The sequence below is a fragment of the Homo sapiens genome, chromosome 3 (genome assembly GCF_000001405.40).
Source record: "Homo sapiens chromosome 3, GRCh38.p14 Primary Assembly".
Taxonomy (NCBI): domain Eukaryota; kingdom Metazoa; phylum Chordata; class Mammalia; order Primates; family Hominidae; genus Homo; species Homo sapiens.
The window spans coordinates 14,564,968-14,587,515 of record NC_000003.12 but is presented as its reverse complement, the minus strand read 5'-3'; the positions used below and the strand labels follow the sequence as shown (position 1 = coordinate 14,587,515).

The 22,548-nt window shown below is 51.9% G+C and overlaps 1 protein-coding gene and 1 pseudogene across 2 annotated transcripts in view, besides 1 other annotated feature; both read left to right on the top strand.

The window, feature by feature from the left end:
- Positions 1 to 22,548, top strand: part of GRIP2 (glutamate receptor interacting protein 2) — a 113,911-nt gene that overhangs the window by 15,502 nt on the left and 75,861 nt on the right. The window lies entirely within an intron of this gene.
- RHBDF1P1 (RHBDF1 pseudogene 1) lies at positions 12,724 to 14,862 on the top strand (annotated as a pseudogene).
- Positions 13,127 to 13,628: an enhancer, noted in NCBI's record as "H3K4me1 hESC enhancer chr3:14615395-14615896 (GRCh37/hg19 assembly coordinates)". NCBI's record gives its function as "activates a minimal SCP1, AML or CMV promoter by ChIP-STARR-seq in naive H9 embryonic stem cells {active_cell/tissue: H9 hESC(naive)}" and the evidence as "EXISTENCE:reporter gene assay evidence [ECO:0000049][PMID:30033119]".

Sequence of the window (22,548 nt, the reverse complement as noted above, 5' to 3'; positions counted from 1 at the left end):
AGGTGCCCGCCACCATGCCTGGCTAATTTTTGTATTGTAAGTAGAGATGGAGTTTCACTATGTCACTATGTTGGCCCGGCTGGTCTCGAACTCCTGACCTCAGGTGATCCACACACCTCAGCCTAAAAGAGAAAAGTTTTGCCTAACTTAGTACCTGAGCTAGGATTGGACTCTTGGCCCTCCTGTTGGCCAGTTTCATGGTTCCTCCTTTTTCTACATTTCTAATTTTATAAAACCACATAAGATGTTTGTTGGACATTTAAACTAGTTTTAATAATTAAACACAGCGACATCAATAAACAAAGACATTGCCATGCAGTGGACCTCCTTCTCCATACAGAACTGATATGGACACATTTCTCTGGCTTCTGGCTATTTTTAAGAAAATAAATCCTCTTAAGTGAAATGACTTTTTCTCAGATTAAGCATGTAATTGTTGTTAAATATAGACTATTTTGAAAATAAAGACGAAGAAGAAAATGAAAATCATCCTCCACCTGCCCCCTCCCCAGGGCCACTCTGGTGTATTTCCTTTCAGTCTTTTATCTATCATTTATTTTTGTTGCTGTCATACCACACACATTATTTTATGTTTTGTTTTTTCTTCACCTGGCTTTACAGGATCAGTATTTCCCTGGATTATTAAAAGCCCTTGAGTGGCAGAATGCATCATGGAGTGGTCATTCCAGGCATGGTTTATTTACCTGTTCCCCCATGGTTGGACATCAAGGTTGTCTCAGCACTGGGCTTTTTAAATAAGGCTGCAGTAAGACTTACGTTTCCTGGGGCTGCCATCAGTCTATCATGCAATTCATATAGGCTTTCCCCCCGCAGATGTTATTTCTTACACTTGTCATTTTTAAGGGCCACATAATCTCCTGGAGTATGGCTATTCCTCATGTTCTAGGCCATTTATCCCTCTCTACATTCCATGAGGCCTCCCCACTTCCTCTGGGAAGTGCCCCTAACCCCAGCACCTTTGATTCAGGGAACCAGCCTCCGGGGGAGGGCAGGGCTGTTGTCACCATTGCCCGAACCTAGGCATTTGCTGCCTCTCCTGCCTGCCTCCTGGCCCTGGCACCCAGCCCTGCAGGCAGATTCCTTTTTTCTTCTTTCAGTCATTCTACAACTGTTTAACTCGCACATGCCAGTCACTAAGTGCTGGGGTACAGTAGTGAATAAGACTGAGTCTTTATTCTTGTGGAGCAGAGAAGATGGACCAGAAACGGGACAAATAAGTAAGAGTTCACTGGGGGAAGAAGTGCTGTTTGGAGGACAGGGCAAGGGGATGAATGATAGAAGTTGATGGGGTAGTCAGGGAGGGCCTTCTAGAGGAGGTGACATTTGTGTGGGGCCCAACCAAGGGAAGACCTGGAAGAAAAGTGGTCCAGGTAGAGGGAACCACAGGAGCAAAGGCCCTGGGGCAAGAGTGCACCTGGTGTGTTTGAAGAACGGAGGCCAGTGTGGTTGCCATGCTGTGAGAAAGCCGGAGAGTGAAATGGGGTAAGGGCAGAGAGCTTAGCCGGGGTGCCAGGCCAATGGAAGGAATTTGGGTTTCTTCTGAGCATCATGGGAAACCTTTGTTGTGCTTTAAGCTGGGGGGCTGATGTGGGACCTGATTTCTCATTCCTGAGACCTTGCACCTGCTGTCCCCTCTGACTCTGTCATCTTTAGGCTGAAGGGACCCTCCATTTCCTCATCTGTAAAATGGAATAAAAATGGTACCTTTCTGCTGGAGAGGTGGTGAGAGTTAAATGAGCCAGTGTGACAGTCAGTGCCTGGTATGCAGTGGGTGCTTGGTTGAGCTAGCTGTGTATATTCCTCCTGAAGGAAGCTGGGGGGCTGAGGTTTGTTCGCTGTGCAGAGTTCACTGGAGCTGCTCTCTGGTCTCCTTTAAGCCTAGCCTGCCTCCTCCTTGCAGCTCACGTCTGTTTCCTCTGACAGTCACCCTAGGACAAGGTGGCTCTGCCCAGCTGCAGTCCCTTTCCCCTCCAGCTGCCTCGGTCCCAGAAGTGGGGGCCTAATGGGCCTGTGTCTGCTCTGAACTGCCCTTTACGTGTGAAATGGGCCAATTCTACCTCCCAGAGCTATATGGAGGCTGTGTGGGCCCCATGGGGGCTCACTAACATCAGGTTCAAATATATTAAATCAAACACCTTTAAAAATAATATTTTATGCTGAAATCTCCATAATATGGCCAGGCGTGGTGGCTCACGCCTGTAATACCAGCCCTTTGGGAGGCCGAGGCAGGTGCATCACGAGGTCAGGAGTTCAAGATCAGCCTGGTCAATATGGTGAAACCCCATCTCTACCAAAAATACAAAAATTAGCTGGGCATGGTGGCGGGTGAGTGTAGTCCCGGCTACTCGGGAGACAGACAGGAGAATCGTTTGAACCCGGGAGGCAAAGCTTGCAGTGAGCTGAGATCGTGCCACTGCACTCCAGCCTCAGCAACAGAGCGAGACTCCATCTCAAAAAACCACAACAAAAAACAACTCCATAATATTTGTTTGTGGGTGTGTGAGTGCCTTGCCTCAGTCCTGGCCCTGCAGGCATCCTGGAAAGAGGTGGCAGGTGGCCCCTTGGGGAAAATCAACAGCAATTGCATCAGATTCTGCACTTAATTTAATGAAAAGACCCTGTAGGGAGGCAGAGGCAGCGAGGCAGTGAGGCAGGGTCTATGGGCTGCGGGCAGGAGTGATTCCAGGGGAGATGTATGGGTGCTTCGTAAAAGATTCAGATCCAGGCTCAGTACTCTGGGATCCTTCTCTGCCGTCTGAGAGGCAGGTGTTCTAGGGCTCCCAACAGCTCTATTTGCTGTGCGAGCCTGGGCAAGTTATGGCCCCTCTCTGGGCCCTGCAGCACCACTGGGCATTCTGGAGCCCCTCCTCCGCCCATAGTCCGCGGTCCCAGGCTGCTGCCTACCTCCCACTGGACACGTGTTTTACAAGGATTTCCACACAGCGAAATCCTCTTCCTTGTAGCGAGCACACCTTCCCCGCAAGTTGTTTTTCCATGTTACAGAGGAGGAAACTGAGGCTCCAAGAGGTCCACTGATATGCACAGAGTCACGCAGCAAGCCTGGGGCAGCGATGGGGGTCGTGTGGCCCCTTCACAGAGTCAGGAGCCTCCACGGTGGGCTTGAAGGACACTCAGGACTTGGATGAATGGTGACTTGATTCTCCACACAGCCCCAAGTGGAGTCTGTTCTGTTGTGTTTTATTTTCCCTTTCAATAGAGAAGGGCCAAGAGAGTTATGGGACCGGCCTGGACCCCACAGCAACTAGTGTCAGAGCAAGAATGCAGTCACCTCCTGGTCCAGCCTTTCTCTCCAGCTTGTCACAGAAGTCCCTAGGCCTCTGTGACTTGAGCTGAGCTACTCCCCTCACCTACTGTGTGACCTGGGCAAGTGACCTGATCTCTCTGAGCCATAGTGTCTTTGTCTATAAAATGCAGATGGCAATATGCCCACCTTTCAGGGTTGCTGGGAAGATCAGATTTTGGCAAGTGGTCTAGGATAGCAACTGGCATCCATTTCCTCTTGGAAAAATTCTAATTCTAGGGCTGCTCAAACTATGGAGGAAATCTGACTAGAAAGGAGACCCTCCTTTTCACAGGGTTTGGGCTTTGCTGGTGTGGCCCCTCCCAAGATGGAGGAGGAGGGAAGGAACTTGGCGTACACTGGTGGTTGCAGATGGCAGGCAGCTAATTTATTTACCTCTTCCTAATAAATATGCATGACACATAAATAAAATATCTCACTTGTACCACTCCACCCGGATCCCGGCAGGCAGTGACAGTCAGCAGCGTAGCTTAGAAGCAGGCCTCTGTGAGCATGTGGAGTCTGGCAAGGGGGTTAATGAGCTGATTATTCTTCCTTTAACCTAATTTCTTGCCACACATCCAGCAGTGCTCAGAATTCCCAGTTAGGAGGCGCTGGGCTTTCCCTCTCAGCCTCCCAGCCTCCCAGCCTCCCAGCCTCCCGGCCTGCCAGCTGAGCTCTGGTCAGGGAAGGCCCCAGTAGCTTTTGCTCCCCTTGGAGCTTGGCAAGACTGGACTGGACTTCCCTGGGAGGTGGTGGGCCCCCATCAAGGTTGCTGTCAAAAGGGTTCCTGTTCTGGCTGGGGGTTGGACTAAGAGGCTTTCAGGACATCTCTCGAGACATCTCTCATGATGGTTTGACCACTGAGGTGGGCCTAGGTTTGTAAACTTGCCCTGCATCCGGTTCATGCACTGGCCTCATCACAGGGCTCTCAGCCCCCAAAATCCCCCCAACTACAGTCAGTCTCTCCTGCTGCTCTTACCCAACTCATCCACGAGCCAGGAAATCCAGTCATAAGACAGGGTAAGAATTCATGGAACTGCCACCCCCAGAGCCGAAAGAAAGCTGGAGAGGGGTAGGGGAGCAATGACAACCTATGGAGTGAGAAAGACCTGGGTTCCACTCCTGCTCAGCCACTTGCTCTGAGTCTCAGTGTCTTCATCTGGGAAATGAACACATAGTCAGTGTCTACCTAACAGGGTTGTTGTTAAGACTTGTTCACTCATTCACTCAACAAATGTTTACTGAGCAGCTACTATGTGCCAGGCACTGCCTTAGGCCCTCAGGACCCAGTGGTGAACATGACAGAGACTAGGACCTTGCCCTGATGGATCTTAAGTTCTAATGGGCAAGCCAGCCAAGCACATGTCAACAAACAGATGTGCATGCTAATTAGGTCACGGAGTGAAAATGAATGAAGCAGAATCAGGGGATAGAGAGGGAGGGAGACACCCTCTCAGCTGAGATGCTCGGAGAAGACTTCCTGAATGATGAGAAGGAGCCAGCCCTGCAAGGAACTGCATGCACAAATACAAAGGTCCTGAGGCGCAAACAAGCTTGGCATGTTCAGGGAAGACAAGGGTGGCTGCAGCACAATAAGGTGAAGTGGCTCTGGACACGAAGCAGATATCTGTTGGCCCTCCCTTCCTCTCTTCTCCAGACCTCCTGCCTTAATCCTTCCTGTAATCTAGGAATGAGGGTCAAAGATTCCTAAAACATCCAAGCTAGAAAGACTTGGTGATTTGTGCAAAGACCCCCTTTAGATCCATCCAGATGTCCCTAAATCTTGTGGGTGGCCTCTGGTCTCACCCTGTGCCTACCTTGCAGCCGTATTTAACACCTATAGAAGAAGACAGACAACTCAATAGAAAACTGGGCTAGTGACTTGAGCAGTGATCCAAGCGGCCAGTAAATGCATGAAAAGGTGCTCAACAGCTTCTTACTTGAGGAAAATGGAAATTAAAACCACAGTGGGATACCTGCCAGGAGGGCTGACATTAGAAACTTTGACAATGCCAAGTGTTTGCACATTTGCATGGCAGTGGAGCTGCGAGACTCTTATACCCTGCAGTGGGAGTATAACTGTGGCTTTCCTGAGGAGTCCCTGAGATATGAGGAGCAACACGTCATGCTCCTGACCAGTATCTCTCGTCTCCCCTAGCCTGTCTCCCTGGTAGCCCTGCTGCTGGATTCCTTTTCCCACTACTTCTCCCCTCTCTCAAGTCTTTCCTCTGTTGCCCTACTCCTCAGCTCTCTTCCAAACTTGCCAACACCAGCATCCAAAACAGAGGCCAGGCCAAACTCTATCAGCTGAGCCACAACCACCTGTTCCTTCTCACGCCTTTCCAAGAAGGCAGTAGCAGGCAGGCAGTGTTAGGTTATAAGTGGTAGAAACCCAACCCCAACTTGCCCAAGTGCGAAAGAGACCTTCAATGCTCATATTGGCATCAGGAAGGGCTACATCCAGGGGCTCAAGGGACAACATCAGAGCTTGGTCTTCCCATCATTCACTTCTCTCTTTCTCTGGGCTGTTGGCTTTGCTTTGGGCAGGCTCTCCAGACTTATATCATTCTACCTTCCAGTGGACAAAGAACATGCAGATGGCTCCAGCAAAAGTCCTGGGGCTGTCTCCCATTGGACAGTGTGGGGTCACGTGCTTGTCCCTCAGCCAGTCACTGTGGCCTGGAGAAAGGACTGCTATGATTGGATAAACCTGGCTTATGCCCTTCTTGGAAGCAGTGTCAGCCCTGTGAACCACATGGACAGGGTTGGGGAGGGAGACCCCCTCTGCAGTCAGTCTCTCCTGCTGCTCTCACCCAACTCATCCGTAAGCCAGGAAATCACATGGACAGGGGGTAAGGGAGGGGGTCTCCCCAGAGCAAAATCAGGGTGCTGTTACCAAAAGGAGGTCTGTATGCTGGATGGGCAGAAACAGCTGATGTCCACTGTGGGAGCCTCAGTTCATTTGGATGAGGAGGGTGGGGCTCCAAGAGTGTATTAGTCAGAGTTCTCCACAGAAAGAGAACCAATAGATCCATCCACCCATCCGAACATCTATCTATCCACCCATCCACCCATCCGCCCATCCATCTGTCTATCATCTATCCATCCATCCATCTATCATGTCTATCCAGAAAGACAGAGGAAGAGGTTGATTTAAAGGAATTGGCTCATGCAATTGTGGAGCTGGTAGTCAGTAATCTGCAGGGCAGCCCAGGCAGGCTCAAGCAGGGTCTCTATGTTGCAGCCTTGAGGACAATTCCTTCCTCTTTAGAGAATCTCAATCTTTGCTCTTAATTTCACTACTGATTGCATCAGGCCAACCCACATTGTGGAGGGTAAAATGCTTTACTCAAAAGTCTGTTGATTTAAATGTAATCACATCTAAAAAATACCTTCACAGCCACATCCAGACTATGTTTGACCAAACAACTGGGCACTAAAGCCTGGTCAAGTGGGTTTTTGGGTTTTTTGTTTGTTTCTTTTGTTTTTGAGACAGGGTCTCATTCTGTGGCCCAGGCTGGAGTGCATGAAGTACAGTGGTGCGATCTCAGCTCACTGCAGCCTCAAACTACTGGGCTCAAGTGATCCTCCTGCCTCAGTCTCTCAAGTTGGAAGCTCAGGCATGGGCCACCACACCGGCTAATTTTTTTTATTTTTTGTAGAGACAAGGTCTCACTATGTTGCCCAGGCTGGTCTGGAACTCCTGAGTTCAAATTATCCTCCCACCTCGGCTTCCTAAAGTGCTGGGAATACAAGTGTGCACCATTGCGTCCAGCCCAGCCTGGCCAAGTTGATGCATGAATGAACCATTACAGGGAAGCAAAGGTGCTTATCTAACACCATGAGGCAATTTAAAGATGTGTGGTCCCCTTCCTACCTGAGGCTGGAAGAAACCACTCAGGGAAGGGCAGGAGAGGCCATGGGGCCTTAGCAGAGGGAGAGGGAGGAGAACCTTCTGGGGCCACCAGGACTTGGCACGGTGTGGTCTCCATGGACTACTTGTAAATGAGTGTTGGCTTAGCACCTGCTCTGGGTGCTGGGGTATGGAGGTGACCAGACCCAGCCCCTGCCCCACAGGGACCAACATGAAGTCCTGTGTTGGACACAGTAGTTCTCTGAGTGCCCTGGCATGCGGTGACTTAGCCATCAGCCTCTGTGCTGAAAGGAGAGGCTGCCATACACTGCCACGAAAGCCACACAGGGAACCTGTTACCCATGTGATGGACAGCCTCACCCCATCACCCCACCCCGTATGGCACCGAGTGCAGCCCAAAGGCCAGTCCAGGAATGGCATGGAAGGATGTGGGGTTCTGGCTGCTTCTGCTGCTGCAGTGCTGTGAGCCCCAGGGAGGCTGCTCCTCTCAGCCCTGGTCTCGTGGTCAATGGATACTGGAGAAATCAACATTTGATAAGGGTTGATGGCACATCTTGTGTTCAGCCCAGAGCCAAGCTGAGAGGAATATTCCAGAAACAGAGGCTTGGGGAGGAAGCCTTTTCCCCAGGGTTGTGAAGGCGGGAGACTGAACGCCAGCCTGGGTGGGCCTGACTCCAGGGCTGTGGCGTTCTCATCTTGGTGGGAGACTCTCAGTAGAACTGGCGTGGTTGGGCTGTGGTTGCTGTTTTCAGTACCAGCCATAGAAGTTACCACAATGCCTCCCACCTGTGAAGGGCTTTCCCGCCTGACAAAGTTCCTACATGCCCGTCCTCCCATCCGATCACACACGAGCCCTAGAAAGTTTGCAGGAAGGTTGCCTCAGGGACATTTTTAAAAAATAACTTTGTTGAAGTCTAATGTATATACAGTAAAACACACTCATTTTTAGTGTACAGTTTAGTACGTTTTGACAAGTGTATACATTTTTATGTAGCCACCAACCCAATCAAGGTACAATTAGAACATTCCCACCAGACCTAGGCCACCACTGATCTTCCTATTGGTATGTATTCAGTTTGTCTTTAAGAGTTTCATATAAACCGAATCACAGCATGGATATCTTTTGTCTCTGGCCTCTTTGGCTCAGCCTGTTTTGAGACCCACCCATGTAGTTGCACGTGTCAGTGCCTTGTTCTTCCGGGGAGTGGATGTACCTCAGAGCGTTCATCCATCCACTTGTTGGTGGGCATTTGTGTGGGTTCTAGTTTGGGATGCTGTGGATAAAGCCACCCTAAACACTGATACGCAAGTGTCATGTGAATATGTGTTTCCTTTCTCTTGGCTAAATACCTAGGAGTGGGATTGCTGGGTTGCATGCTAAGTGTGTGTTTAGCTCTTTATAAGAAACTGTTAGGTCCACTTTATTGGAGAGGAAATTGAGGGCCAGAGAGAGAGAGAAAAAAAAAAAACAGCTGGCCTGGGTCACCATGTGTGAAAATAATGAAGCTCAGACCACAGCTCTTCTACCCCACTGCTGACTCACCTGACAAATAAGGGAGAAAAAACCCATTCCTTCATAAATTCTTTTTTTTTTTTTTCTGAGATGGAGCCTTGCTCTGTTGCCTAGGCTGGAATGCAGTGGCACAATCTCAGCTCACTGCAACCTTTGCCTCCCAGGCTTAAGTGATTCTCCTGTTTCAGCCTCCCGAGTAGCTGGGATTACAGGTCCCTGCCACCATGCCTGGCTAATTTTTGTATTTTTAGTAGAGACGGGATTTCACCATGTTGGCCAGGCTGGTCTTGAGCTCCTGACCTCAAGTGATCCTTCTGCCTCGGCCTCCCAACATGCTAGGATTACAGACGTGGGCCATGGTGCCCAGCCCCTTCATAAATTCTTATTAGCACCCACATATGCACCACTTCCCTTAGTCCTCATGACAACCCTGTGAGATAAATCATGATATTATCCCTATTTCCCAGATGAAGAACTGAGGCTCAGAGAGGTGACAAGTCTTGCCCACAGTCACTAGCTGGTGGTGGTGTAGCTAAGGCTCAGACCCAGGTCCCTGTGCTCTTGGTCTTTGCAGAGCAGCAACTAAAGATGCAGGAAACACAAGACAAGCTCCCCTGGCCCTCGTCGATGACAGTGCTTATCGATCACCACAGTTCTTCCCAAAGGCTCAGCTTCAGAGGCTTTCTTAACATGGAGCTCCACACAGTGGAGATGGCAGGAAGAGAAGGGCAACGAGAGTCTGCCTCTGCTCAATCTGAGTCTAGGTCTGTCCTGCAAAGGAGGACCTCTCACCAGCCTGAAGGCTGAGCCAGGGAGACCTTAAGCTCCCATCCTGTTCACCCCACAGGCCCTGGGCGAGGATGAGGCCACTGTTCTGTTGCAAGTGAAACCAGAGCTGAGAGGGTTTGCACCATCCTTAGCCAGCCCATTGAGGTGGGGACCATGATGACATCAGGGCAGAGGGACACTGTTTAAGCATCCACTGTGTGCCAGTGCCCTGCTAGATACTTCACAAGTGGGACCCCCAGCCTCACATGCACCTAGGGTGCATGTGAGCAACTTGGCTTAGGCCAAGGGATGAGTTGGTTTTACTTGGGCCTGGGGTGTTATCTGTTGGTCAGTGTCTTCCCAGAGGCCATGTCTGCTGGGACACCATCTGGGTGACCTTTTATCTTATTTTGATAAAGCTGTCCTGAGCAATTGAATGAGCAACCTTGAGCTAAGTCCAGAAGGAAAGGACCTTCCAGGTTAAGGCAACTTCCTGGAAGTGGGAATGTCCAGCTTTTGATTGGAGAGGAAGCAGGGCAATGGGGCACACTAGGATGGACACTGTCATTTGACTCCACTGAGTGGCCAGGAGCCAAACCATCACTGCATGTGTCTCTCTCTGCTTTGTCTCTGTGTCTTCCTGTCTCTGCCTCTCTATCAGCCTCTGTCTCTTTCTGGATCTCTTTCTCTTGGTTGTCTGTCTTCTTTTCTTTTTCTGACTCACAAACATTTTTCTATTTCTCATTGGTTTCCTAAGAAAGAAACATGCACCATTTGTCTCTTATCCAATTCAACATGAACATCACTAGTAGAAATAACACAAAATAAAACTGGCATCAACTAAAACTGTGCACAGTAAAAATAGTTATTGATCTAAAAATTGACAGATGAATCCAATCTCCATGCCAACATTAAATTCTGCAAAAATTTGAAGGGAGAGAATTGGAGCCGAAGGAAATAATGTGCAAAAAAGGAACTCCACAGTGGTAGAAGTTGTCTACAACTGGTGTAGGAGCTACGAGCAAAGAAATGTGTTGATGAATCAAATCCTCATTACAAACTTTAATTAGGAAAGGCTTCATGAAACCTATCTCAACAAAGCAAGACTGAAAGTGGAAAAGCTTGAGAGTGGCCTAACTGTGCTTTTTAGAGGATGAATCAATGGTTCAAGTGGTTGATGGGGTTTGTGCAGGACAGGGCTTCCTTACAGTCATCAAAGTCGGTAAAATTCATACATTGGTATTTGAGATGTCCTTGCTGTCTAGCAGTGGGGTCAAAATGGAACCTACGGCCTGAAGAGAAGATAGTGCCCGCGAGGTGCTCAGCAAATGTTGCACCAGTGAGGCCATGTTTGTTGACTGGCCGGTGTTGCCCGACGGTCAGGCTGTACGTGGCAGGAGAGCACCTGTAAAATGCGTATCTGATATCATTACTTGCTCTCTATGGTCCAGTGGCTCCCCACTGCTGTGAGGATCAAGTTCAAAGTCTTCCATGGCCCTCTGGCCCAGCGTGGCCCAGCACCAGGCCTCTCTCACCCTCGCCTCTCCCCGCCCTCCTTGCTCACTGGCCTTTCAATTCTTGGGGAAAAACAAGCCAAATGCGAGGCCGTGTAGTGAAGTGGGTTCCAATCCAGCCTCAGCTGCTGATGAGCTGTGTGACCTTGTGCTGGTTACTTAACCTCTCTGTGGCCCAGTTCTCCATCTGTAGAATGGGACTCACAGCACCCGCATCTCAGTGCCGTCCTGAGGATGGACAGAGTGAATGCAGGAAAGCTTTGAGAGCCACGCCAATTGCGTGGAAGGCTCAGCCTGTGCTCACTGTCAGCCCACCCCATGTCCTGCCCAGGCTCTTCTATCTGCCTGGGGTTCCTGGTGTGGCTAATTCCCACGGATCTCCAGACCTTGCCCCCAGACTCCTGGAGCTGCTGCCTGCTACACCCTCTCACCACGCCCCTGATCCACTCACTGCCTTTTATAACACAACAGTCCTGAGCCCCACAGGGGTGGGTCCTCCCATTTCCAGCACTGGCCATGGCTGCCTGCACTTAGCAGGTGATTAATAAATCATCACCTTAGGTGGTGATGGGGTGGCGTCCAGACTCACCTACCCAAGCCTGTCCTGGCTGATAAGGGGGCACAGCCTCCATGCAGCTGCCATCTTCTGTGACTTCTCACACAGAGGATGGGCCTGAAGCTTCCCTTTTCTCCTGCCTGCCTGCCAGCCCGCCCCTCAAGCTCTGGGGAGACAGGGCGGGCCTCAGCAGATGCCCCAGAAGATGCCAGCTGCCTCCCTTACGACAGCCCCTCAGGTTGCTTCCTCTCCACCCTTTTGTTAAAGGGCCTGACCTTCAGGGTGGGTTCTCTAGGCTGCCAGCCTCGGCTGTGGGATTCCAGTGACTAGTGACGAGCTCCCACCCTCCTGTCCAGAGTCCCTCTATAAGCCCAGCATGTGCCTATTAAAGCGAATATCCCACAGGACAGTTCTGTAGAAGACTGGCATCAACAGAGGGTGGCCTGTGGACCGGCTGCTATGCTGGGGGCTTGCTGGGCCCCCACCTCAGTTACCACACACCACTCAAAACCAGCAATGGGTGGAGAGGTGGGATCCACCCATTTGAGGCTGGCTTCTGGATTCCTCACCCCACGTGTGCTCAGCAGACGTCTTAGACCCCAGTGTGGCCCCAGAACCTTGTGAACTGGAATCACCTGGGGGTGGTGCGGGCATATTCAGAATGCTCATCCCAGGCCTGAGCCCAAACATAAGGAATCAGCATTGCGGACAGTGGCACAGATGCATCTTTTTTCTCCTCTTTTAGTTAAAATTATAAAATATATGTGTGAGTTTAACATAGAGGTGCCGCGTAGAGAGTAATGAAAAGTAAACACACTTATAACCACTCTGGTTGAGAAACAGAGCATTGCCATCCCCTTAGAAGATCCCCCCACCCTGCCACATGGGCTCATCTCCAATCACATCCCACTCCTGCTCCCCTAGAGGTACCCACCCTCCTGACCTTTTTTGAAAATCATTCCCTGGCTGTTCTTTATGGTGTTATCACCTTATGTGTATCGCTGCACAGGGAAGTTTGTTTTCACCTGTGCTTGAATTTCCTATCAATGGAATAATACAGCGTATATGCTTCACTGTCCAGCCCTTTTCATTCAGCATGATGTTTTTGATATTCATCCGTTTTGTTGTATGTTGCACATTCTTTTTCATTGTTATGTAAACTTCCATTGTGGGAAGCGAGAGTTGGTGGCCAAGATGAGCTTCCATGCAGCCGCAGCACTGATGAAAGGCTGCTCGATTAGGGATGGCACCTTGCGCTGGGCACAGCGTCGAAGCTTCACTCCAGCCAGCTTTCTGGCGGAAAACACGAATTTCCCTGATGAGATGGACACATCCTTCTTTGCCCAGGAAGGTATCCTCCATGAAGAGCTGTCCACATACCCGGACGAAGTTTTTGAGTCCCCATCAGAGGCAGCACTCAAGGACTGGGAGAAGGCACCGGAGCAGGAGTACCTCACTGGCAGGGCCCTGGACCGCAGTGAGCTTGAGCCCAGCCACCTGATGCTGCCTTTGGAGCGAGGCTGGCGGAAGCGGGAAGACACCGCAGCCTCGCAGCCCAAGGTGCGGCTCCGACAGGAGATGGTGAGCACCGCGGGGCCGCGGCGGAACCAGCGCATCGCTGTGCCGGTGCGCAAACTCTTCGCCCGGGAGAAGCGGCTGTATGGGCTGAGCATGGTGGGACGGCTCAACAACCACACCTACCACAAGCACATCGACAGCTTCGTCAAGCGACAGATCGAGGACATGGACAGCCACAGGCCCTTCTTCACCCACTGGCTCACCTTCGTGCACTTGCTCGTCACCATTCTAGCCGTGTGCATCTATGGCATCGTGCCCGTGGACTTCTCACAGCATGAAACGATGGACTCGATTCTGTGGAACCACTGGGTCTACGAGAACGTCAAGTACGTGCAGCAGGAGAACTTCTGGATCGGGCCCAGCTCGGAGGCCCTCATCCACCTGGGTGCCAAGTTTTCGCCTTGCATATGCCAGGATCCGCAGGTGCACAGCTTCATTCGCGCAGGGCGCGAGCACGAGAAGCACTCGGCCTGCTGCATGCACAACGACAGGTCGGGCTGCCTGCAGACCTCGGAGGAGGAGTGCTCGCCCATGCTGGCAATGTGGGTGAAGTGACCCATCCATTCCAGCGCCCCAGAGCTTGCCGGCCACAAGAGACAGTTTGGCTCTGTCTGCCACCAGGATCCCAGGGTATATGATGAGCCCTCTTGGGAGGACCCCCGTGAGTGGCCAGAAGACATTACCAAGTGGCCGATCTGCACCAGAAACAACCCCGGGAACCACACCAACCTTCCCCACATGGACTGTGTCATCACAGGACGGCCCTGCTGCATTGGCACCAACGGCGAGTGTGAGATCACCTCCCGGGAGTACTGTGACTTCATGAGGGGCTATTTCCATGAGGAGGCCATGCTCTGCTCTCAGGTGCACTGCATGGATGATGTGTGTGGGCTCCTGCCTTTCCTCAACCCTGAGGTGCCTGACCAGTTCTACCGCCTGTGGCTGTCCCTCTTCCTGCACACCAGGATCCTGCACTACCTGGTGTCCATCTGCTTCCAGATGACCATCCCGCGGGACCTGGAGAAGCTGGCAGGGTGGCACCACATAGCCATCATCTACCTGCTGAGTGGTGTCACTGGCAACCTGGCCAGTGCCATCTTCCTGCTGTACCGAGCAGAGGTGGTTCCAGCTGGCTCCCAGTTTGGCATCCTGGCCTGCCTCTTCATGGAGCTCTTCCAGAGCTGGCAGATCCTGGAGCGGCCCTGGCATGCCTTCTTCAAGCTGCTGGCTGTGGTGCTCTTCCTCTGCACCTTTGGGCTGCTGCCCTGGATCGACAACTTTGCCCACATTTCGGGGTTCATCAGTGGCCTCTTTCTCTCCTTCGCCTTCTAGCGCTACATCAGCTTCAGCAAGTTCCATCTGTACTGGAAATGCTGCCTGATCATCATCTTTCAGGTGGTCTTCCTGGGCCTCCTGGCTGGCCTGGTGGTCCTCTTCTACTTCTATCCTGTCTGCCGTGAGTGGTGTGAGTTCCTCACCTGCATCCCCTTCACTGATAATTTCTGCGAGAAGTACGAACTGGATGCTCAGCTCCACCGAGCTGGCTGCGGGCTCCAGGGACCATGCGCTCCAGCAGGCCAGAGCCAGACACGACAACCCTGAGCCTCACAGGCTTACCAGGAGTCACCTGCTCCATGTGGGAACTGGCCTGTTTCCTGAAGACAGAACTCTTGTGCCTTGTTCACTTCTGTTGAACCCCTTGTACTGCTGGGCATTTATTATACTACTTCCTGTGATAATCTTCTAGCTTGTGTCTTTTTTTTTTTTTTTTTTTTTGAGACGGAGTCTCGCTCTGTCACCCAGGCTGGAGTGCAGTGGCGGGATCTCGGCTCACTGCAAGCTCCGCCTCCCGGGTTCACGCCATTCTCCTGCCTCAGCCTCCCAAGTAGCTGGGACTACAGGCGCCCGCCACCACGCCCGGCTAATTTTTTGTATTTTTAGTAGAGACGGGGTTTCACCGTTTTAGCCGGGATGGTCTCGATCTCCTGACCTCGTGATCCGCCCATTCGGCCTCCCAAAGTGCTGGGATTACAGGCGTGAGCCACCACGCCCGGCCTAGCTTGTGTCTTGACGACCACCTCATGTGGCCAGTAAATGACCTGGGAGCGTTTTAGAAAAAAAAAAAAAGTTCCATTGCGTGAATATGCCGCCATTTTTATTGATCTCTTCTACCATGGTTGGACTTTCAGTTTGTTTCAATTTTTGACTTTTATGGAAAACGCTGCTGTGAATACTCCGGTGCCTAAACATGCCTCCGGTACCGAAATGCACACATTTCTGTTGAGTATATACCCTCAAGTGGAATCAGCAGCCCACAGGATATGCATATTTTTAACAGCTTTATTGAGATATATTTTAGAATATACGTATCTTGAAATTTTAATGGATACTATCAAACAGCTTTCCAAAGTCGCTGTACCACTTTACATCACCACCAGCAGCGTCTGAGAGTTCCAGTTGCTCCACAACCTCAGCAATGCTTGGTACTGTCAGACTCCTTACTTTTGTTTTGCCATGAATTTATATTTCTATCAAGCTTCCCAGGGGATTCTCAACTCTTGCTGTGTATCAACACCACCTGGTGAGCTTTAAAAATACAGATCCTGGGACCCTGCCCAGGTTATTCTGAGTCAGAGTCCCCCGAATGAGGGTTGGGGCACAGATGTGTGCAGATTGAACAAGCTGTACTCCCTCATGTTCCCTACAGTGAGCCTCTGTTCCTCCAGCTCCCCTGCCAGGTGACGGTTCAGCTTCTTCTTTATCCCTGGTTCTCGATGACCACTTTACTTAACCTCAGGCTGTCATTCTTCAGGCCTGAGGCCCTTCTCTGTCGGGAGCATTGGTTTCTGTCCAACTGCTGAGATCTTGTCTGTGCCCCGGTGTCTTGGGAGGTGCGGTGTGGGTAGGGATCTGAGGTGCGCGGGGGTGGGAAGCATTGGAGGGCAGCTTCATCCGGTGCAGACAGTGGCTCTGAGGGTCCCCTGGTTTCCACTGCGACCTTCATAGACTGTGCCTCAGTGACAGCCATGCCTGGAGGGAGGGGAGATCTGACGGGCGCTACTTGAGACTAATGGGTGACACCAGGGTTGCAAACACAGATGCCTACGAGGCCAGGCAATGTGAGTGAGGAAGGTGGGCCTGGAGTAAAGCACACACATGCCCAGGCACACACAGACACACACCTGCACGTACAGACACTCTCCTAGACACGTTCTCTCACACACACAGGAAAGCAGAACGTCCAAACCAGCCGTTCTCAACAGGGGGTGATTTTTTTTCCCCAGGGGACATTTGGCAATCTCTGGAGACATTTTGGGTTGTCACAAGTGGGGAGAGGGTATGTGCCACTGGTATCCAGTGGTAGGGGACAGGGATGCTGCCAACACCCTGCAGTGCACAGGACAGCTCCCCGCCACCACAAAGAATTGTCTGGTCCAAAATGTCAATACTGCCTGAGGTTGAGAAACCCTGACCTAAAAAAAGTTACATCTGTTTCAGCTCACATAAAAGTTTCCTTCATTTCAAAAGCAGAACTTTTACCTTACAGCTTTATTTTAGGTTGAATTGCACATCAGGTCGAGCGCCAGCTTCTCACCACTGGGTAGCTCCGGTAAAAGCAGTGCCTCTTGGGCTATCTGGGGAAGGCCAGTATTTTCTTTTTACTTTCAATCCACTGGAGACTGATACATTTGAGAAAAATACACTAACAATGAGTTATTGAAAAATGAAATTAAAAAACAAAGACCTGAAAAATAGAAGCCACTGATCAGGCACTTAGATATTGTGGCAATGTGTGAAATTGCTGTAATAGTTTTTAACCATTGGTTCTCAAATGTTTGTTTCCAAACGTAAAAATCACTGTCCAGCAACAAATAGTTCAAAGACAGGACGGGACCTGCAGCCGCACTTTGCATAGCTCTGTTTTTAATCTGACTGAGCCTCAGCACCCCTGGTCCTGGCCCCAGCTGGCCCAGACACCCTCCACTGTGCCCAGGGCAGCTCCCCTCCTGGCCCCCTGGCTCTGACTTCCTGCTGCTGCTTCAGTGTAAGGGTCATGACGCCATCCCAGGTGGGCTGTCTCTATCGGCAAGATGCTGATCTGGGGTCAGGCTGGGACACACATGCTCTGAAGACCAAAGAGGAATAGCTCTGTGATGCTGGCAGGAAGGAGATGACAAAGGGGATTTCATCACACACACAAGTGAACGTTAGACACCCCTGTTCTCAAAAGTCCTTCCTCCTCTGGGGCATGTTTCCCGCATCCTTCCTCTCACCTTCACCCCATTGCTACAAACCCCTCTCCCTTTGCTTGGGCTCTGGGGCCAGACAGCCTGGGTTCAAATCCCAGATCTGCCACTAGCCAAGTAGGTGACCTTGAGCAAGCCATGTCACCTCTCCGAGCCTCAGTTTCCTCCACTGTAAAATTGGGATAATTATAGTCCTCGTGCAAAGGTTTTTGTGAGAGTTAAATGAGTTCATATACATAAAGTGCTTAGAACAGGGCCTGGCTCGACTTCTGCCTCTGCCACAAACTAGCTGTGGGACCACGGCAGGTCACTTCCCCTTGGCAAGTGGTGGTCCTTGAAGTTAAAAATGCATCCTCACAGGGTGCTTGTGAGGCTCTGGAGGAAAACGCATATAAAGGGTGTAGCGCAGAGGCTGAGGCTGGAAGGAGCTGCACCAGTTGCAGCAAGAGGGGGGTGGTGGAGGAAGCGGCGCTGGCATGTGTGTGGCTGGTGTTAAAATACTGCAGCACCCCCACACTGGCTGGGAAACAACTGGTTCCCCAAGGTCTCCTCACCCAATGTCTCCAGGTCTCTCCCCCAGGACCCCTGGATCTCCCACGATCCGGCAACCAGAACTTTAATGCGTGGCCCAGCAGGGCTCTGGCAATCCTGATTGGCCAAGCCCATTGCCCTGACTGTATCCCCTAGGCCTCCCTGGGACTCCCCCAAGGCAGGGGACTAGGCACCAGGCCCTAAGGATCCAGTGGCTTAGAAAATGTGCCCTCTCTCCTGGCCTCAGTTTCCCCAACTGTAAAATGGGTGGGGTGTAGTTTGGACCAGAAGCTTTCTCTGACACAGCCCGATTCTAAGAATCCAGCCTTCTGCAACCATGTTAATCATTTTCTTCCCCAGAAGTTGTAATTCCAGGCTAGCAGGCACAACTCAGTCTTGGCTGTCACTTCTGAATCAGGGACAGGAAGGAGGCCCCGAGTCCACTGCAGAAGATGGAAAGTGGGTGGGAGGCAAAGCCCCATAAGGCGGGGGCGTCTGGGCAGAGTGGGGAAGGCTGGCACTGCAACCCCTCCCCGTAATCCTGATGGCCCAGCTTCTGCCTGTCAGCTGGATTGATTACTCTGCTAGCTGCCTGGCCAGCATTTTCCCCAGCATTTTCCCTGCATTACCCCCACAACAGCCCCAGTGAGCAGGTCAGGAAGCCGAGACATGGAGAGGGTAAGTGATGCTCTGGAGGCCACACAGCTGGTGAAGGGCAGAGCCGAGGTTGGAGCCTCGGTTGTCTGACTGCACGGCCTGCCCATGGGGGTGGTTTGCTGAGTGCTCATGGTGTGCTGACCTCACACTCCACATCTAGGTCCAGAAAGCTGGAATACATCCCTAGCTACTTCCTCCCTCGCTCTCACCTGTCCCAACCTATGCAGGGGCCCCATCCCATCTCTGTCTCCCTGCCACACAGGTATACTTCTGGACCCCTTCCCAGTTTTGCTCTGTAGCTGATCCTGGCACTAGTGTTGGGGGTGGGGATGGTCCACTTCCAATCTCAGACCCCAGACCTGTGCCACGTGAGTCAGGTATGAGTCCCAAGGAGACGCTCATGACAGAATGAGAGAGCACAGGCCTCGGAACCAGATGGCCTGGGTTTTAATCCCAGCTCTGACACTCCCTTGCTGTGTGACACTGGGCAGGTGACTTAACCTCTCTGAGCCTCAGGTTCCTCCTCTGTAAAGTGAACATACTTCTCCTGGCCTCACAGGGCTGTGTGTGTCTATAATGAGTCACTACTTTTCTTTAAAACATGTCCACGACTGGCTGCCTCTTACGGACCTGGTCCACGTCCCGGTGTCTATTAGTTGCATGGTTGCAGTGGCCTCTTCACTGGTCTTCCCACCTCCACCCTCACTCCCTCCTCAGTCTGTCCCTCCCCTGCAGCCACAGGGATACTGTTAAAACCTAGGTCAGATCACTCCCTCCTCTCTTCAACACCCTCCCATGGCTCCCACCTCCCTCTGAGGAAGACCAAAGTCCTCACTGCAGCCAACCTGGCCCTTGGTGGTCTGCCCCTGGGACCCCACTGACATCCTTTCTGCTACTCCGTCCATCACTCAGCTTCAGCCCTGGCCTCCTTGCTGGGCCTCAAACCAGGGCCTTTGCATGGGCCGTGTTCTTTGCCTGGCTCAGCAATCTGCATGGTTGGGCATGGTTGGGTCCCCTATTCCCTTCATTTGTGTGAAGACTTGATCACAGAGACCTCCCCCTACCTCATAACCATCTCACACCACTTCATTTTTCTTCAAAGCACTTATTTCAACCTGTGGTGTGTTACATATTTATCATGTCTTTGTTTGTCTCTCTGCGTAGAACGTAAGTGCTGGAAGCCTTATTCACTGCTGGAGCATAAGAGCTGCCCAGCACATGAGCAAGTGAATGAATGACGGGCACTATTGAATGCTTTGGGCCTGGGAATAAATGCTACTGGATTATACCGCTGTCATCATCATTACAGGTTCTCTCAATGCTCCCACTGCCAGGGCCTCATGAAAATCCTTGTTTGAGGACTAGAAGAGTCCCCAGTGTGTGTTGTGACCTTGTTATCACCCCTGGTTTTCCTTGTCCCTGGAGTGGTGGCATCATCCTGAACCTCGTGCTGTCTCTCCTGACTCCTGGGATGCCATGTTTCCTGGGATGCCATGTCTCCTGGGATGCCATGACTCCTGGGATGCCATGTGACACTGCAGCCCAGAGGCATGCAGGGTCCCCAGGGAGGGCATGAGGGATGGTTGGCCTCACTGAGCGGGATCCCATGCTGCAGAGGCAGGGGGCTTAGAATGACTTGTAGCCAAGATTCGTCTTAGGGGCCTGCTCCCTTCTTGTAGGTATTTTTTCCAGTGCTCAGGAACAGATTGGAAGGGTGTTTGGAACCAAGAGTCCTGGGTATGAGTCCTAGCCTTGCCCTCACTGCTGAGTGAGTTGCATAAGAATCTGCCCCAAACTGAAAGGGAAATCGAGGGGAATCATTGAATGCTCCAGCTGGCCTCAAGCAGCAGGACTGAGGGCAAAGGGCAAAAAGATGCCTCAAGGCTGGGCAGTTGACGTTCATTCATTCATTCATTCATTCATTCATTCAAGTGAGTCCTTTGGGAGCCACAGAAGATTGTAGAGAGGGAGAGAAGTGATGTGATCATTTCACAGATTATTGGAGGTGAGGTTGACCCTACCTTTGATTATTGGACCCCACCTCCAATAATCAGAAAGGACCTCAGAGAGGGCCAACTTCTTAATTTTACAGTGGGGAAACTGAGGCCCAGAGTAGGCAGAGAATCATCCCAGGTCACACAGTGGCCATGTGACTGCATCTCTCACTGGAAGCCATGGAAAGGGGAGTTTTCCAGGGTTAAGGGCAAGATTGGAGCTCTCTGGAGCTAAGGGCAAGATTGGAGGGGTCAGGGGCTGTGAAAAGGAGCTTTTAGGAGGTCACGGCTTGCTTGGTGAGCAACACGGATGGCTTACACTGTCCCTTTGAACACTGAATGGTCTGAGGTCCAATGATGTTGATCGCCTTGCTCTGTCCCCACCCTGACTCTGATAACCTGTGGTTTGGCTCCACTCGCTGCTGTGGCTTCTGTCTGTAGTTCTGGCATTCTCTGCTGCGGTTCTAATGGCCTGTGGCCAGACCACAGCGTGGTGGGTATGGATCCATGAGCGTAATGCCTGCAGTTCTTGAGCTACCATCTGGGGCTTCCTGAAGCTAACATTCTGTGGCTCCAGGGTTTCAATTTTGTGTGCCCTTGTGGGCTGTCGCCCAGTCCTGTGGTGTGTGACTCTGTGTTCCCATCCCTGGGAGCTCTGTGGCCTTGTGGGCTATCATCCAGTCCCCTGTGGTCATGTGGCTCTGTGATCTTGTCTAAGAGCCCTGTGGCTCTCATGGTCTGTCACCTAGTTTCCTGCTGGACTCCGATTCCCACACTACGGTGGCTCGTTTGAATGGCCAGAGTCACAGGACTTTGTCCAGATCATTGACCCTGCTGACCTGGAGAAAGATCACACAGTTATTGGCCATGCTGCAGCAAGGCTGGGCTGTCTGAGAGCCTCAGGGCACCTCTGGGATGCGCTCCTCCCTTTCTTCATCTGAGGCTAGAAGCCTCTGTGCTGTGACCCACAGGAAGCAGCACCCAGAGATGGCCCTGCCACTAGCAAGCTATGAGTGAACTGTGTCACCTAGGGCACGCTCCTTTCTCTGTGCTTGAGCTTGGCAGTTGTGGGGGTGAGATGCATGGCAGGATGGGGGCTGTGCTGGTGACGAGGTGGCCGGGACAAGCTCCAGCGCCCCTCTGTGTGGGCTTCCAGTTTTCTATGGGCCAGGTGGGAGGTACAGACCTGCAGACTGCCCGCGTGAAGGGCGATGCTGGGACATAGCTCCCTGCAAGGGTCTGTCACACCCACTTTCCCGTTCCCAAGGCAGTGCTGTGCTGCTGGCCACTTACACTGAGGATGCCAAGGCCCGGAGTGGGTAAATTTTACACAGCCCCTTCTCATCCTGTGGCACAACCCTGCTCTCCCACCTCTCCGGGCCTTCGGGACTTGGGGTGTGGGATTTGTTGGGGAGGTAGGGAGAGAGGAGGCAGGGTCCTGCCCAGCTGTGCGGGTTGGTTCTTGTTGCCATGTGGAGGCTGGAGGCCTTTTCCTGTGTTTGTGAGGGCCTGAGAAGCCCTATTAGCGTGGGGGTCCAGCTCCACTCCAGCCACTGGCCCAACAGGCACATCTGCTAAGTGGGAACAGCAGCCCCGTCTGGGAGCCCAGCACTTGAGTTCAAGCCCTGACTCTGCTTTCAATGGACTCTGTGACCTTGAGCTTGTTTTTTCCCTTCTCAATTAACCCACCTGCCAGAGGGGACAAGAACCCCTCATGTAACACTGTCTCCCCAAGGGTAGACCCAGCCTTCGCCCCTTTCCCTTAATTCTTGCCTCGTTTCCCAGATGAGGGTCTCACTGGCTGGTGCCCAGGGAAGAGCGGGAGCCTGATCCCATCTCCCACTTCTGACCTGGAAAAGCCCTCTCAACCCCCAGAAATGCTGGGCAGACCCCCTGGCACAGAGACCCAGGGTCACTGGAGCTCGGGTGCCCGGCTGTGGGCTGTGCCGTGCCCCTTGTGCTCGGGGTGCTGTGTTTGCTCTATTGAATCA